Source organism: Homo sapiens, chromosome 8, assembly GCF_000001405.40.
Source record: "Homo sapiens chromosome 8, GRCh38.p14 Primary Assembly".
NCBI classification, from domain to species: Eukaryota; Metazoa; Chordata; class Mammalia; order Primates; family Hominidae; genus Homo; species Homo sapiens.
In genome coordinates this window covers 32,629,353-32,644,413 of record NC_000008.11, presented here as the reverse complement: position 1 = coordinate 32,644,413, position 15,061 = coordinate 32,629,353, and the positions used below count along the sequence as shown (strand labels likewise).

The 15,061-nt window shown below is 36.0% G+C and overlaps 1 protein-coding gene across 22 annotated transcripts in view, besides 2 other annotated features; it reads right to left on the bottom strand.

The window, feature by feature from the left end:
• Window positions 1-15,061, bottom strand: part of NRG1 (neuregulin 1) — a 1,134,802-nt gene that overhangs the window by 129,633 nt on the left and 990,108 nt on the right. The window lies entirely within an intron of this gene.
• Window positions 358-1,557: an enhancer, noted in NCBI's record as "MED14-independent group 3 enhancer chr8:32500376-32501575 (GRCh37/hg19 assembly coordinates)". NCBI's record gives its function as "activates an origin of replication core promoter dependent on BRD2, BRD4, P300/CBP and CDK7 cofactors, and independent of MED14, by STARR-seq in HCT116 cells {active_cell/tissue: HCT116}" and the evidence as "EXISTENCE:reporter gene assay evidence [ECO:0000049][PMID:35650434]".
• Window positions 10,464-11,663: an enhancer, noted in NCBI's record as "BRD4-independent group 4 enhancer chr8:32490269-32491468 (GRCh37/hg19 assembly coordinates)". NCBI's record gives its function as "activates an origin of replication core promoter dependent on BRD2, P300/CBP, MED14 and CDK7 cofactors, and independent of BRD4, by STARR-seq in HCT116 cells {active_cell/tissue: HCT116}" and the evidence as "EXISTENCE:reporter gene assay evidence [ECO:0000049][PMID:35650434]".

Sequence of the window (15,061 nt, the reverse complement as noted above, 5' to 3'; positions counted from 1 at the left end):
AAGAGTAAGAAAGGAAAGTGTGAATGGGGTTAGAGGTCAGAATTTCCTTTGGATAAAACATGCATGTTTGTAGGAAAAACTGCAAGGATATATCATTTTAACCCTTTAAGCTCCACCCCAGTAAAGCCCAGGAACACCCCATTTCCATGTCCTCTTAGAAAAATAAACTACACAATTTTTTACTACCTAACCTTTTATCACCATCTCCCTCACAATAATAAAAGCTACCTTTGTTGAGTTCCACCCAGGTGACAGGCACTCTGCTAGGTTCATAATATACATTATTTCTGATCTTCACTAATCCCATACAGTCCATATTTATCTTAAATTTTTTTTTTATTTCATTGGCCCAGGCAGCTTAGGTAATTTTGCCATGGACACATAGCTATGTGGCCAAGATTTGAGTACGTTCTGATTCATCCTATTTCTGCTGAAAAATACTGCTTTTGTTATTTCATCAAAAGGGTGCATTTGATTATATTATTGATTACATACCACTTCAAGGAGAGACTATGAGAACCAGAATATGTAACAATGAAATAGGAATTATTACCTTAATATAATTTGTAAACAAACTTAAAAGGATCTAGTTTCCAAAATAAGACTTCTACAATTTTGCCTAATAATTTTTAGAAATTATAAGAATTAAGCATAGGCCATTTAAATACTGTCTATTTATCATTTAAATCAAATGAGCTCTTCCATGGTCTCATTCCAGGACTTTCCTTGGGAAGCGATTTCAGTTATGTATTGCTGTGAAACAAACCACCTGGAAATAGCTTACAACAACCGCCATTTTATTCTGTAGGTTTACTGGGTTCAGCTGAGTGGTTCTTCCGCTTCATTTGACGTCAGCTGGTGCTGCAGGTGAGGTGCAACTAGGTGGAAACGTTCAAGATGGCTCCCCCACATGACGACCGGCAGCTGCTGCTAGATGCCAGCCGGCACTGTGAAATGGTGCACCAACCTGTGGCCTCTCCTTGTGGCTTGAGCTTCCCACAGCATGGTGGCCAGGTTGTGAGAGAAAGCACCCCAAGAAGAAGAAAACACAAGCTGCCAGTTCTCTTAAAAGTCTGTGCCTGAAAGCAGAACAAACTATTTCCACTGCATCCTATTGGTTAAGCAGTCACCGTGCCAGCCCAGACTCAAGGACAGAAGAAATAAATCTTGAGGGAGAAAGTGGCAAAGAATTTGCAGCCACAATTAATCTGCCACAGAGGATAAGGAAGTAAATGCTAGTATGCCAACCTGGATCAAGAAGAGACACGGTAATATAGAATGGGATTTGGCAGAATAAAGTAAAATATATTTGTATTTCTGATCCACTTTCATAATATTTCAGCTTCCTTCTAAGCTGGCTTCAATGAAGAAAAACATCCTGTAATATCATCAAATAAAAAATACTAGAATTCCTCAGCTACATCAATTCAAGCTAGGCTATGAATTCAAGCTAGTCATTCTGCTTTACTTTTATTTACTTTATCATCAGAAGAATGTACGGTAGCTCCAACAGATGAAAGAGAATGATAAATGACATTTTGCTTTTGACCTTATTACTCACTTATTTTCTCTTTGACTTTTTTCCTGTATCTTGGCAATATAACTCTAAAAATATTATCTCCAAAATCTAAAAATATTATCACTGAAAAAGTTTATTCTTGCTCCTAAATTTTACGGCTGGCAAAAGAGTAGAATTTACTTCATGGTATCTAACATAAAATAAAAATGATGGCAGCAGTCGTTTCATTTGGAGAGATCCCTACATACAAATGGCAATTATTTATTTATTTGCTGAGGAATTATGAAATCATAATTTTCACAAGAAAGCTCCATGTCCTGAAGTTGACTTTCAAAACTTGCAGCTTCTCTGGAGGATAAAGTACACCAATGGATCTGTCAGCTTCTTCCACCTATCCAAAAAACATGCCCTCAGCTAGGTCTCAGCTCCTTGACGAAGCCCTTCCCATTTTTCCAAATCATAGACCCAGCATTTCTTAACTGTACCATTTATTGGGGTACATGTTCACAGTCATGTGTCATCATTTAATTACATCGTGTATACAGGGCTGAAGAATGCAATTTATTTGAAGGCAAAGACTATCAGTATTTGATTGTCCCAAACTTAGAGCTGGGCTGTCCATTCAATACATACATTTTGTTTGGTTTTACTTTGGATTGGGATTGCATTACACAGATTATGGGGTCTCTAATAAATCAGCAGGCTTTATTCATAGCCAACTATCTAAAATACCCTCTATACTCCTCCTCTCCATTTTTTCAAGTCTTTTAATGGCCTATTCAGATACTTCCTTATCAAATTTTCTCTGATTGTTCCAAAGTATGCCTTGAATTAATTTAGCCTGATCTAGCGAAACTCAACTACCACAGATCCTATCAGTGGAGGGAAAATTTGGAATATGCTAATATTTAACTATTTTTTCTTGTCATTCCTCTCTCCCCAGCTAAATAGAAAAGTTCTCTGAGAGCAAACCAAATCCATGTGCTGTGTGATGTTCTTGTACATTATTTATGATGCAAAATAGGTGAGATGAATGAAACTCATTTTACCTTCCTGGGCATGTCTTTTCTGCCCACTTTAAAGGTGAGTCAAGACTGATTATTCTTACCCAGTGAAAATGTTCTCAGAGCAGACAATTTGACTTAATTTTAAGCATTACTTTGTGAGATGCTGTATCAAGTACTTGATATTGACTGTGCTCTGTGTTCTCATTCTGTAACACGATGAGCAATTTACTCTGGTACATTTTGTTCTTTATGAGTTTAGATCCTCTGTAACTGAAGATACAGTAAATGATCTCAAAGATGAGGATGTGAGAATTTCATATGGAAAGATATTTTAATTGCATACGATAGTTACAGTGAGTTTGCTTTACTTTGGGAGAACCTATTAATTTCTCACTCTCCATAAGTAAAATCATTAATTTTCTACAAACACAGTTTATTGGTCATTTTACAAGTTGTCCTTCTTTTAAAATTCCACTGGAGAGGTTTTGGAACTAGATGGAAGGGGTGGTTGCACAACAGTGCAATAAATGCAACTGAGTTGTTGACTTTCAAATGGTTAATTTTGCTGTGTGAATTTCAACTCAAGGAAAAATGAGACTTTGTTATGTGTCGGCTACCCTTTCTTCTAGAAAGTATCAATAGGCAATATGGCAGTGAATCTCAGGCAATTATTAACTATGAACTCTGAACTTGATATTAATTTACATATATAAAAATATATTTATATATATATATGTATATATTTAGAGACGGGGTTTCACTCTCTCTCCCAGGCTGGAGTGCAGTGGTGCAATCCTAGTCACTGCAGCCTTGATATCCTGGGCTCAAGCAATCCTCCCACCTTAGCCTCTCAAGTAGCTGAGACTACAGGTGCATGCCACCATGCCTGGCTAACTTATTTTTGAACTATTATTATTATTATTTTGTAGAGGCAGGGTCTCACTTTCATACCCAGGCTAGAATGCAATGGTGCAATCATAACTCACCATAGCCTCAAACTCCTGGCCTCAACAATCCTCCCACCACAGCCTCCCAAAGTGCTGGTATTACAGTCGTGAGCCACCACGCCTGCCGATATGTATATTTTAAATAGGGAAATAGGATGGAGTTGAACAGAAAAATAATATTTTAGTATATAAAATGGGATAGAAAGATAAGCCTTTGCTCATGTTCTCAGAAGCCTTTTGAATTCAGAGTCTCAATGACATATCCATTTACTAGTTTCTGTGTGTGTGTGTGTGTGTGTGTGTGTGTGTGTGTGTGTGTGCGGGTCTGAGATCTTTGGGATGAAGGACTCCACTGGAAATAAGTGCCAAGGATGAGGGGCAAATGGCAGTCTTCCTGTATTATCTGTGTTTTCTTATCAAACGTGATAAACTCAATACCAGAATGTCAGCTCCATAAGACCATGCACTTGTGTCTGCGTCCACTGCTATATCCCCAGTACCTAGAGCATGCCTGGCACACAGCAGACATTGTTAAGCAAATGCATCCAAATGAAAACGACATAGAAGAGGGATGAATAAACTATGGGAAACATCTTTGAGACGTGTGTTTTACCAGTGTGAGTAAATGCAAATAATGTTAAATTACTGTGTGGTGTGTGTGCGTGCGTGTGTGTGTGTGTGTGTGTGTGTGTGTGACAAAAAGAAGAAAAAACAAAAGAAACATTATCTTTATGCAGACTAATCTGAGGTTATGTGGATGAATGGTCATTTCTAACATTTACTGGAGCAATACATATTGGCTTAGCTACCTTGAGCAAATATCTTTGCTGTGTCTCATTAATATTCACTATTACAGTTACGTTCAGGGCATAGAGCAGCACAGCTCAGAGAAATTTTCTGTTGTTTGTTTTTCATTCTTCTGGCAAATGTAACAAAAATGCAAGATATAATTTTGCTTTTATGTACATATCCAATGTGCAATCTTATTTAATGAAAATGATAATGGATGTAGTTTAATGCAGTAAGAGAAGTTTTAGCTAAAAACAAGGAAGAAATACCTTGAATAACCAATGTCGGTTTAATATAAATTCAGCAAAGTTTTAAAAATGGGAGTGATTGAACTTGACTTATACTTAAGCACTAGCTATTTGTTTTAAAGTTCAGTTGCTTGTCAGCCAATTCTATAAACTGGTCCCCCAATCAACCCAGAAATGTAGTTAGTCAGTATATAGCACAGCATATCACTTATAGCAAATGCTCTAGAAATATGTGTTAATTTGATTTTTAAATCTCCTGCTTAAAATAGAGAGAAACAGTTGAGCATGAGATTATACACATGTGAAGGCAGTTATGAATTACTCATAAGAGAGTACCAGCTATTCAAGAGACTGAAACTTCACATAAGCCCATGTATAAAATATACTTGCACAACATTCCCAGAATAAAGAAAGCTTGAGGAAAGGGATTACCTGAAGTATTCTACTTTTAAACATGGTTCAAATTTCTTTTCTCTTTTATATTTATTTATTTATTTTGAAATGGAATCTTGCTCTGTCGCTTAGGCTGGAGTGCAGTGGCGCGATCTCACCTCACTGCAGCCTCCACCTCCCAGGTTCCAGTGATTCTCCTGTCTTGGCTTCCTAGGTAGCTGGGATTACAGGCATGCACCACCACACCTGGCTAATTTTTGTATTTTTAGTACAGATGAGGTTTCTCCATGTTGGCCAGGCTGGTCTCCAACTCCTGACCTCAGGTGATCCGCCCACCTCGGCCTCCCAAAGTGCTAGGATTATAGGCATGAGCCACCACGCCTGGCCAGTTCACATTTCTAAACCTGAAAAGACCTTAGCCAGAGAAAATGTCTTACAATATACGTTTTCCTTAGAGTACACACATTTTTTTTCTCCTTGTTGCTGATCAAAATGAAAATACAAAGTTGCACCAAAGGGAACAAAAAAAAAAGAAGAAATAAAAGTATATGCAGTTTCCAGAACTGATTTGGCATTCTTAGTGAGCCACCTGTCAGGCAACACTACCGTAAGGTCATAACCTTTATGATGCTCATGGAAGCAGACGTATCCCATTTAAAATGAAATGCCAATCTCCTTTTCCTGCTGCTTTTCAGCTCAAGGGGTGGAAACCTTTTCTGTTTACAGAAAATTGTTACAATTTTTATTACTTAAAACGATATGAATTTGAAAGTTATAAGATAAAAATATCTTATGATTTGACCTCCAGCTCAAATGTTTCTACCATAAATTATACAATAGGTTGCTAGAGTCAGATTTGTTTAAGAATGACTTGTTTCTTTTCTGTCCAACATGGTCGCTCCTGCCCGTGATCCCAACTACTAGGGAGGATGAGGCAGGAGGATTGCCTGAGGCCAGGAGTCCGAGACCAGCCTAGGCAACAGAAGGAGACCATATCTCTAAGACACTGGGAGAAAAAAGAAAATAGACTTGTGTCTTTTCTTTCTATTTCAGTAGTTATTTGGAGTAAAAGAATTTAGGTTTAATGCAAAGGTCAACTGTAATCTCAATAATAATTAGATTTAAATTTTTTTTATTGACTGAATGTTGGAGCTGCAACAGGCCTTACCCATGAATTTTATTTATTTAATTTTTTTATTATACTTTAAGTTCTAGGGTACATGTGCACAACGTGCAGGTTTGTTACACAGGTATACATGTGCCATGTTAGTTTGCTGCACCCATTACATGAATTTTATTTTATACAAGAAGAAAAAAAGTTATTGGGAGGTAAAAACAAACAAACAAAAAACCTGCTTAGAGTCACACAGAAATTAATTTCAAAGTCAGGACTGGGAATCACATCTATTTCTCCTTCTTTTTAATTAATTTCTACAAAGGAAAGCTTTTAGTTGCATACTGCCAACTCAGATACACACACTTGATTAGATAGTTTAGACTTTCTCTCGCCTAGAGCCATGAATGATGTCTGTACCAATACCTCACTTTGACTGTTTCCCTGGACCATTTCTACTTGAAAGTTTACTCTTTAATGCTCCCACGACCACTTGTGGTCACAACTCTACTTAATGGGCCTCTTTCTGAAAGATATTCAGAGACTAATATTCATATTTGGACTCTGTTATTAAACAGCATTTTGTCAAACTAAGGGAGCACACAAAATGTGTGCTCCAGAACCCAACAACTTCCCCTGAGAACAGGCTGGAGATTAGACGCTACCTGAATTGTGGGAGCATTACAATTAGCTTTATTGCTTACATAGGAAAGTATAGAATAAAGAAACTACAGAGGATAGGAAGGCAATGTATCCTCAGGAAAGAAGACTGTCACCAAAATGGGAATCGCCCGAACATTACTGCAGTAGCTCAAACACAAACTGTACCAAAAATTATCAGTATCTGGGAATCAGGAAGCCGAGGTTACATCCTCTTTTAATTTGGAGAATTAAAAGCCTGGGACAGGGGAAGGAGTAATTATTAGGGAACAGGAACAAGAAGGCTGCTACTGTCTGAGTTATACTCTGAAATATGATGACTAGAAAACCCTCGGTCCAAATATGGTGGCTTATTTGAGAGAAACATATATTCTATTTGATAGCATAATCCATGACCTACATGTTCTCTTAAACAATGTAATAAAATATATATACTATGCATGCTGGGATATTTGGGGGTAAAATGAACTCATATATACAGGAAATTTCATCAAAAATAAAAAGTTGATAGATAAATGGGTAGACACTCAGTAAGCAAATATAGGAAAATATTAACTGTAAAATCTTGGTAGTGGGCATAAGTTTGTTTACTGAATGATTAATTCACCTTTTCTCTATGTTTGAAAATTTCATAATAAAATGCTGGAACTTTTTAAAAAATTTTTCATGGTGTTTCTGGGTTCATATATGAAAGGAGCCTATCTTGATATACTATAGTAAGTTTTATTATAAAACTCATTACCTATGCCAAACAAACAAAATAATCCACCAATGCTACATTTAGTAACCTCCACTTGCTTATTTTTTTCCTTCTCTGCATCATCCCCCAGCCTCCACCCATCACTACCTCTTTCCCCTACTACTTTTATTTTAAGGAATTGATTTTTAAGATGAATTTCAAAATTATATCAAGGGTAAAAGATTCATATAATTTTAACCATTATCTAATGACAATGAGGTATCTTTATATGGCAACCATTAATTGCTATAGAACATCTAAGAGCTTTTTCTGTCCCCCTCCCCTCACCCAATACCATTTTTTTATTGAGAAGGGATTTTCCTTAATGCTATACTTCGATCCCTGGGGAATTAGAACATCTATGAATAATGTGACTTGAGAAAATGTAAAGTTCACATTACTGAAAAAATCTGAAAGGTTAGATGCTAAGCTTATTCTGTTGAAATCAGTAGAATCCTTGGGTTATTCAGGACGCTCCCATTCTGAACACACCTTTTCCAGTGGTCAACTGGTCAGTGGACCCTAAGGCCAGAGGCTCCAATGTGAAGGTTGAGCTTCTCTGCTGCTGGATTCTCCACCCAGTGATTCACACAGATATTTTATAAACTATTAAATATGTATGATGCAGTACAAAGCCCCTCTAAAAGCATCCGTATTTAACTAAATCATGTCCCTGACAGCAAGAGGCAGGCAGAGCAATTTAACCTAGCAGGAAAAGTACTTCTTTTACAAATTACTGCAGTGCAGAGCTTCAACCATATGCTTCTTTTTGCCCCCACCCCCTGCGCCCGAACACATCCAGTAAGAAAGGAACGGCTTAACTTAATTTGTTTGAAATGCTTTTAGATAGGATTCTAAAACAAAACATAAGTCTTTAGAAGTGTTTCTCAAAAATTTTACCACCTTAAGGCTTTGCCACTACTCTGTCCCTAGAGATCAGAGAAATAACCCAGCCTCAGGTTAAGTCTCCTTAACTTGGGGTTAAATACCTGGAATTAGCCCTGTCTCTTCTATCATGCTCTTCCAAATGTCTACTGCTGTTTACTGACTGACATCAAAGGCATCTAAAAAGTATCAATGTACACCTAGATCCCCCATATTCTTCTCTTTCACCCTAAAAAAGATTCAAAGAAAAAAGTTTTGGATGGAAACTTCAGGGCACATCAAAAGTTAAATGATTGTTACCCATTCACAACCTAAGGCCAAAGAATCTAGTGAGATAAGAAGAACCAATTAAGCAGTTTTCCAAGGTACCTAAGCATTTGGCAATGCAAAAGAATAGCAGAGGGATCTCTACATTTTTAAAAAACTGCAATGACAATGTAAAACATTTTTAGAAATCTCATGCACAGAATTAACTGTGCTCCCAGAGACAGGTGGTTTTACAATAACCTGTGGTGGGGGAAAAATGTGTTGAATGAGTATAAAAATAACTAACTTACTGTCAAAAAAAAAAATCAGGGCTAAATGCTTGAATTGTCCAACTCAAAATGAAATGGCATGACTGTAATTCAGCCAACTGATCAGGAAATGTGCTGTGCAGCATTGAAATGAACTTCTTTTCACAATCTGGCAGGTACAAAATGGAAAACCTCAGGATGACCTGCTTTTCAAAAGCAGTAGATTTCAAATTTTAAGGTCACTGTACAGGGTGTAATAAAAATAGCTACCATTTCCAAAGACCTAATCTGTATGTTAATTTACTTAGCTACCCATCCACCTATCCATCCAAAAGATGTTTACTAAATGACCGTATCTGTGACAGGCATTGTGCTGGGGTTTGTAGATTTGGTAAGAGGACATTAAAATAATTTCCATCTTATAGTTTTCCTTTTCTTCTAAAGTAACAAGTGCAATCTGCAGAAAGTGAAGGCATGATTTGAATTTTTAGAGTGGTAAGGTCCGAGTCACCTTAGAAAATGGAAGAGAAGCCTGACTGTGAAAAACAGAAACAGGTCAGACATTGTGCCAAGTAATATATATACATCAGTTCTTATTTATAATCTTTACAATCAGTATGCAAAGTAACTGATATTGTTCTTATTTTACAGATGGAAAAAGTGAGAATTTAAAAAGATGCACAGATAACCCACAATTACATAGCTAGTAAGTGGTGAAGCAAAGATTCAAACCATCTGAACTTCAAAAGCCATTTTTTTCTGTACCACTGTACAATATCTTTATACTGATACAAAGTATGGAAGAAGACTTTCAAAGCATTTTTTAAAATCATCAATTACATAAGAGATCATTGTTTTTGTTGTTGGGCTCTACAATAAAATTTTTATTTGGACTTACACAAGACTCAACAGGAGGAACAGAGAACAAAAGAAGAAAACAAAAAGTGATGATGAGAATATACATGTTCACATACATATTACAGTTTCTACTTTGGACAGATTTATTTCTCCGATCAGTTTAGCTTTTTCCAACACCAGGATTTAATGTGGAATATTAGGTTGTCAACTTAATTATGCTATGTGTCTTAAGTCTGGCCATGACGAAACCAAACCATTTAAATGATGTTGCTAGTAAGTACATGAATCAAAATAATTTAACATACTAAACAGTATGATGGCCCTCTGTTGCATAATTCTTTGAGCATCAACAAGATGAAGGAAGAAGGCATGCCACAAACTCAGTTTAGCAGAAAAATGTGATTTCTCTCTTTCATTTTTTTAAGAGTTTTAATCAGTATTTGAAAGCACCATACAATTACAGCAAATTAGAAATTAAAATAAAATGAAAAGGGAAGATCAGGTCAGTAGTTACTGTTTCCTCTGCCACAGATTTCCCATTTATTTTTAAGAATGTATGCTTTTTCAAAGTTTTTCCACAGACATTCTAGGTTGATCCTGTCTCTGCTGCTTTATGCAACCTTTTTTTTTTTTTTTTTTTAAGACAAGATCTTGCTCAGCCTCAAACTCCTGGGCTCAAGTGATCCTACTGTTTCAGCCTCCCAATTGGCTGGGACTACAGGTACATGTCACAACACCTGGCTAATTTTTAAAATTTCTTTGTAAAGATGGGATCTCACAATGTTGCCCAGGCTAGTCTCGAACTCCTGGCCTCAAGCGATCCTCCTGCCTCAGCCTCCCAAAGTACTGGGACTACAGGTGAGAGTCGACTCATCTACAGACTACTGCTCCCGGCCTTAAGCAACTTCATTCGTTCCTTCAGTTATTTTTTTAAGCAAGTGCCTCATATGTACCAGGACCTACCCAAGACTGAGAGAAAGAGGAAGGAAGGCACTGGGGAAAGAGATTGCAATCGTTTCTGCTTCTGTGATATTTAAATTCTAGTGGAAGATTTAGTTTTCCTAATCTTAGGTGGGCACAAAGGCAGACTTCAGAAGTAAGAGTCCATAGTCTTATAATGGATTCTATTTGTGCAGTTGACACATAGTGGAGTCATTCTTTTTTAATGAGCCTGTCAGGAAACACTGTTTATTGTATATGCATGTCTAAGTATCTGAAATTTTCCTTCACTCCGGATCCAGTTATGGAAATGTTTTCTTCTGATAGTGTTTTGTTTGATTAGTGATAGAAGAAGAATGCAGAATTCAATTCCAGAAGGGATCATGCCCAGGCAAGAGGCCTTTGGAGGTACTGGACAATTACAAGCAGAAAAACATAATCTGTCTGTTTCCATTCTCGGTAACCATCAAAACAAAACAGCCACAAAAGCAGACTAGGCTGTCGTAGTAATTTAATGATTGCATTTTTTTAAAGCTGTTGTCTTGATTGTTTTTGGTAGATGGATTAAAATAAATAAATAAAAGAAAGCATTAATACAGTTTATTATTATCTTTTTGATGAATTGAAGCCTTCTTATTTACTGGTGATACCAAAGCACAATTTTAAAGTACAGTTAGTCAGATTTCCTGAATTGTTAAGGAAATGTGTTAATTTCATAGAAATTCTAAAATATCAGCATAAAAAAGTAGTCAAAAATCAAAGAGAAAAAAATGAATTACATGCATATAGATATATATCTGATTTAAAAATTTGTTGCTTATAGACCCTGGGTTAATTAATAAGGAAATTCTACAGGAATCAAAGAAATAAGTGTTAAACATTTTGACTAAACATGAGTCCTGATAACAACCCAGCTCTGCAAAATCATTGGCATGTCAAATGCTAACAAGGATGAGAATGAGTTTTAGAATTAAACTTACAAGCTATCATCTTTCTAAATGAATGAGCTGCTCAGAGATGAACTGATGGTAACTAAAGAAATCAATAATAAAATGATCAGGATGAACATCCTGTATCATATTAGAAACAATTTTCCCTTCTTTCAGTTAATTCTGATGAAAATATACAAGGCTCTAGAGCAACAAGTTTCTCATCAACATCTAAATCAATCTGAATTTTTTATCCTTATGATAGAATCATAACACTGAACATTGTCACTGTGTGACATGTCCATTTTTTTTTTTTTTTTTTGAGATGGAGTTTTGCTCTTGTTGCCCAGGCTGGAGTGCAATGGCGTGATCTCAGCTCACCGCAACCTCTGCCTCCCAGGTTCAAGCAATTCTCCTGCCTCAGCCTCCCGAGTAGCTGGGATTACAGGCATGCACCACCACGCCCGGCTAATTTTGTATTTGTAGTAGAGACGGGGTTTCTCCATGTTGAGGCTGGTCTCGAACTCCTGACCTCAGGTGATCCGCCCGCCTTGGCCTCCCAAAGTGCTGGGATTACAGGTGTGAGCCACCACGCCTGGCCAGTGACATGTCCAATTAAGGCACGTCTAGTGAAGAAAAGAGTGTATACTTCGATGGAACTCACTTATTTTATATTAACGTGGCTTATTTTAAAATGTTGCTAAAATGATTTTCACTTTAAAAATCGGTTTCTCTTGTTTAAATACTATTTTCTCTGATGCTCAAAAATAAAACATTACTTTTTAATGCCATAAGTTTATAAACACTTTGAAGTCAAAAGTATAAATATGCATTATTTACTTTGCTATTAACTTATTAACACAGCATTTACCTTTTTCATTACAAATTGAATAATTTGTTATACCACTAAGTTACATGGAGCATTAGATATTATGTTAAACAAAGATCTTGTTGCTATTGTTCTTAAGAACAAGTGTGTCCACCCCCAAAAAGCCAGCGAATTCTGCGCAAATTAAAAGAGATTTTTTAAATGAGTAGTAAATCAGGTCCAATTATGAGCAACGGAGTCTCAAAGCGTCCTAGATTAACCTCACCAGAACTTTCCATGTTGAATTAAGCATGCAGTTTGGTCAGCAAAGATATTCTTTTTCTATATCTTATTTATATCTACTATAAATACCATAAGCATTCCATTAGCATTAACCCAGTGATTAATGCATATGTCATGGACTCAGGTTCTAATCAGTGATAATAACTGCCTATAACTATTTCCACAACTGTTCATCTCCCAACTCTTTTACCCTGACTAACAAAGAAATGCCTACTAAAGTCTAAGAGTTCATGTAGTTACAGGAAACCAGATGCATTATTTATAAGGATGCAGAGGCTAGAAAGTTCGGCTGTGTCGCTTACCCCAGCAGCAGTAGGCTCTAAGCTATTGGCAATAGGATCATTGCCAGTGCATTAGAAGATGAGATAGAAGGGATCCCTGCCAAATAAAATAGCTAAGTAATAACAAATGTTAAAAAAGGAGAGCCTTGGGGGTTGGAAGGAGCCTTGAGGTCACTGTTGAAGCACAATTCAGGAGATCACCAAGCTTTTGCACTCAATACAGAAAGAAGAGTTGTAATCCCAATTAATCCTTTGTGTCTTATCTTTCTTGAGTATTTGCTTTTTAATTACAATAATACATTCTTTTTTTTAAAAAAAGTTACTACAGTATCTGTACATAAATGAGAAATTACAACTGGTATAAAAGAGGTAAAGTGCACAGTATGAGATTTCAAGTTCAGATATAATTAATTGTGTGTTTGTATGGTCTGCCCTGTTTAGAAATCCATACTACTGTTTTAGTGATCCAGGAAAAATCAGTATTTTTCTTCTTTGATTTCAAAGAAAAATAAACCCAGACACAAAATGCTACAATTTCTTATTCTTCATGTGTTCCAACTGATATATTGCTATAGGCAGATACCTGTTGTGGCTTTAAGTAGATTTTGAGATAGTGCCATTCAAGTTTCATTTTCTGTTTAATTATCGTCAGTCAGTTGGAATTTACACCACAGCACAAGAGGCTGCATGCTTTAAATGTTAACAACAGCAGGGATGAGAATGCCATCTTGCCTGAAAAAAAAAAAAAAACCTAAAATCTGACAAAATAAGTCAATTGAAACATAGAAAAAAGAAAACTTAACATAGGGATTGTTAAAACAAATAACCTTCCATATCAATCTGAAACTTAAACTAAAAGCTATGGTTGCAGTCTGCTTCTCAAAACTGATCTGAATGTTACCATCAACTTCAAACATGAAGTAGCTGAGGCTACATATCACATGGTGTGTTTATTCTTTTCTTTGAATAACCTAAGCATTTCAGATGTTTAATGCATATACCTTTTATCTACAATGTCATTCTCATCATTATCTCTTCATCCCAAATGTGTGCGCACTGGGAGGTAGATGGGATGAAGTTTGTGGCATTATTTTTAAATTATCCAAGTATCAAATAAATATAATTTGGTACCTAAAATTGTTCTACCTTTAACACCTTTTATCATACTAAATTGGTGTGTCTATTTCTGTATCTTGCTTAGGAAACTGGGTTCATAAAGCAGATTTGGTCATCTCATTAGGGAAAAAGGACCATTTCTGAAAGTAGCTGCAATTATCATTTGCCCTTTAGACTAGTAGCATAGAGGTCACAAGAAGAGCTTTCTGAGCTCAAAAAGTGTTCTTCTGAGCCTTCAACCTCTACCATCTGTGGGTGAAAAGAACACAGGATGAAGAGTCAGAAAGACTGAGGTTAAATCCTGCTTCTACCACTACTTGACAAATATTGAATTGTCTTGAGTATCAGTCTCTACATCTACATAATGGGACTAACAATATCCATTCTCAGAAGAAAGCATCTGACACATAGTAGATGCTTATTAAAATATATTATTGTCATCTATTATTATTATTAAAGATAATAAATGAAAAATCCATGTTATTGACACTGTTGCGGCACTTCTCTTGTTCCCAAGCAAGTGCCTCTTCAGCACTACAGAGAGGAACAGCGACCAGTTAATAAGTAGATTCTGAAATAATTTGTAATAATCCTATCAAAGGAGAAACTGATTTTTATAAATTACCATGAAAACAAGTATTTATGATAAAATGAAAAAAATCTTCCAGATGTAAAAAACAGAAATAAATTTAAAATATACATAGGTAGAATGTGAATGCTTCTTAAAATGTTACAAGTTCTCTAATAAATATTATTTAAGCCAATGTTAGTTTTTTAAAACTTTGATTTTAAAATACTTAAATATCTGTGCCCATGATTTAAAGTGAAGGTGGTTTTCTTTTCATTGTAAATGTGTACAACTTAAAAAATGATAATCCAACAAAAAAATTCATTAACTCACTGTTGATATTGACATCCATTTAATAAATACTCCCTGGGAACTGGCATAGTAATAAGTTATGGGAATAGAAACACAAATCAACCAAAATTCTTCCCTCTAGTATTTTACAT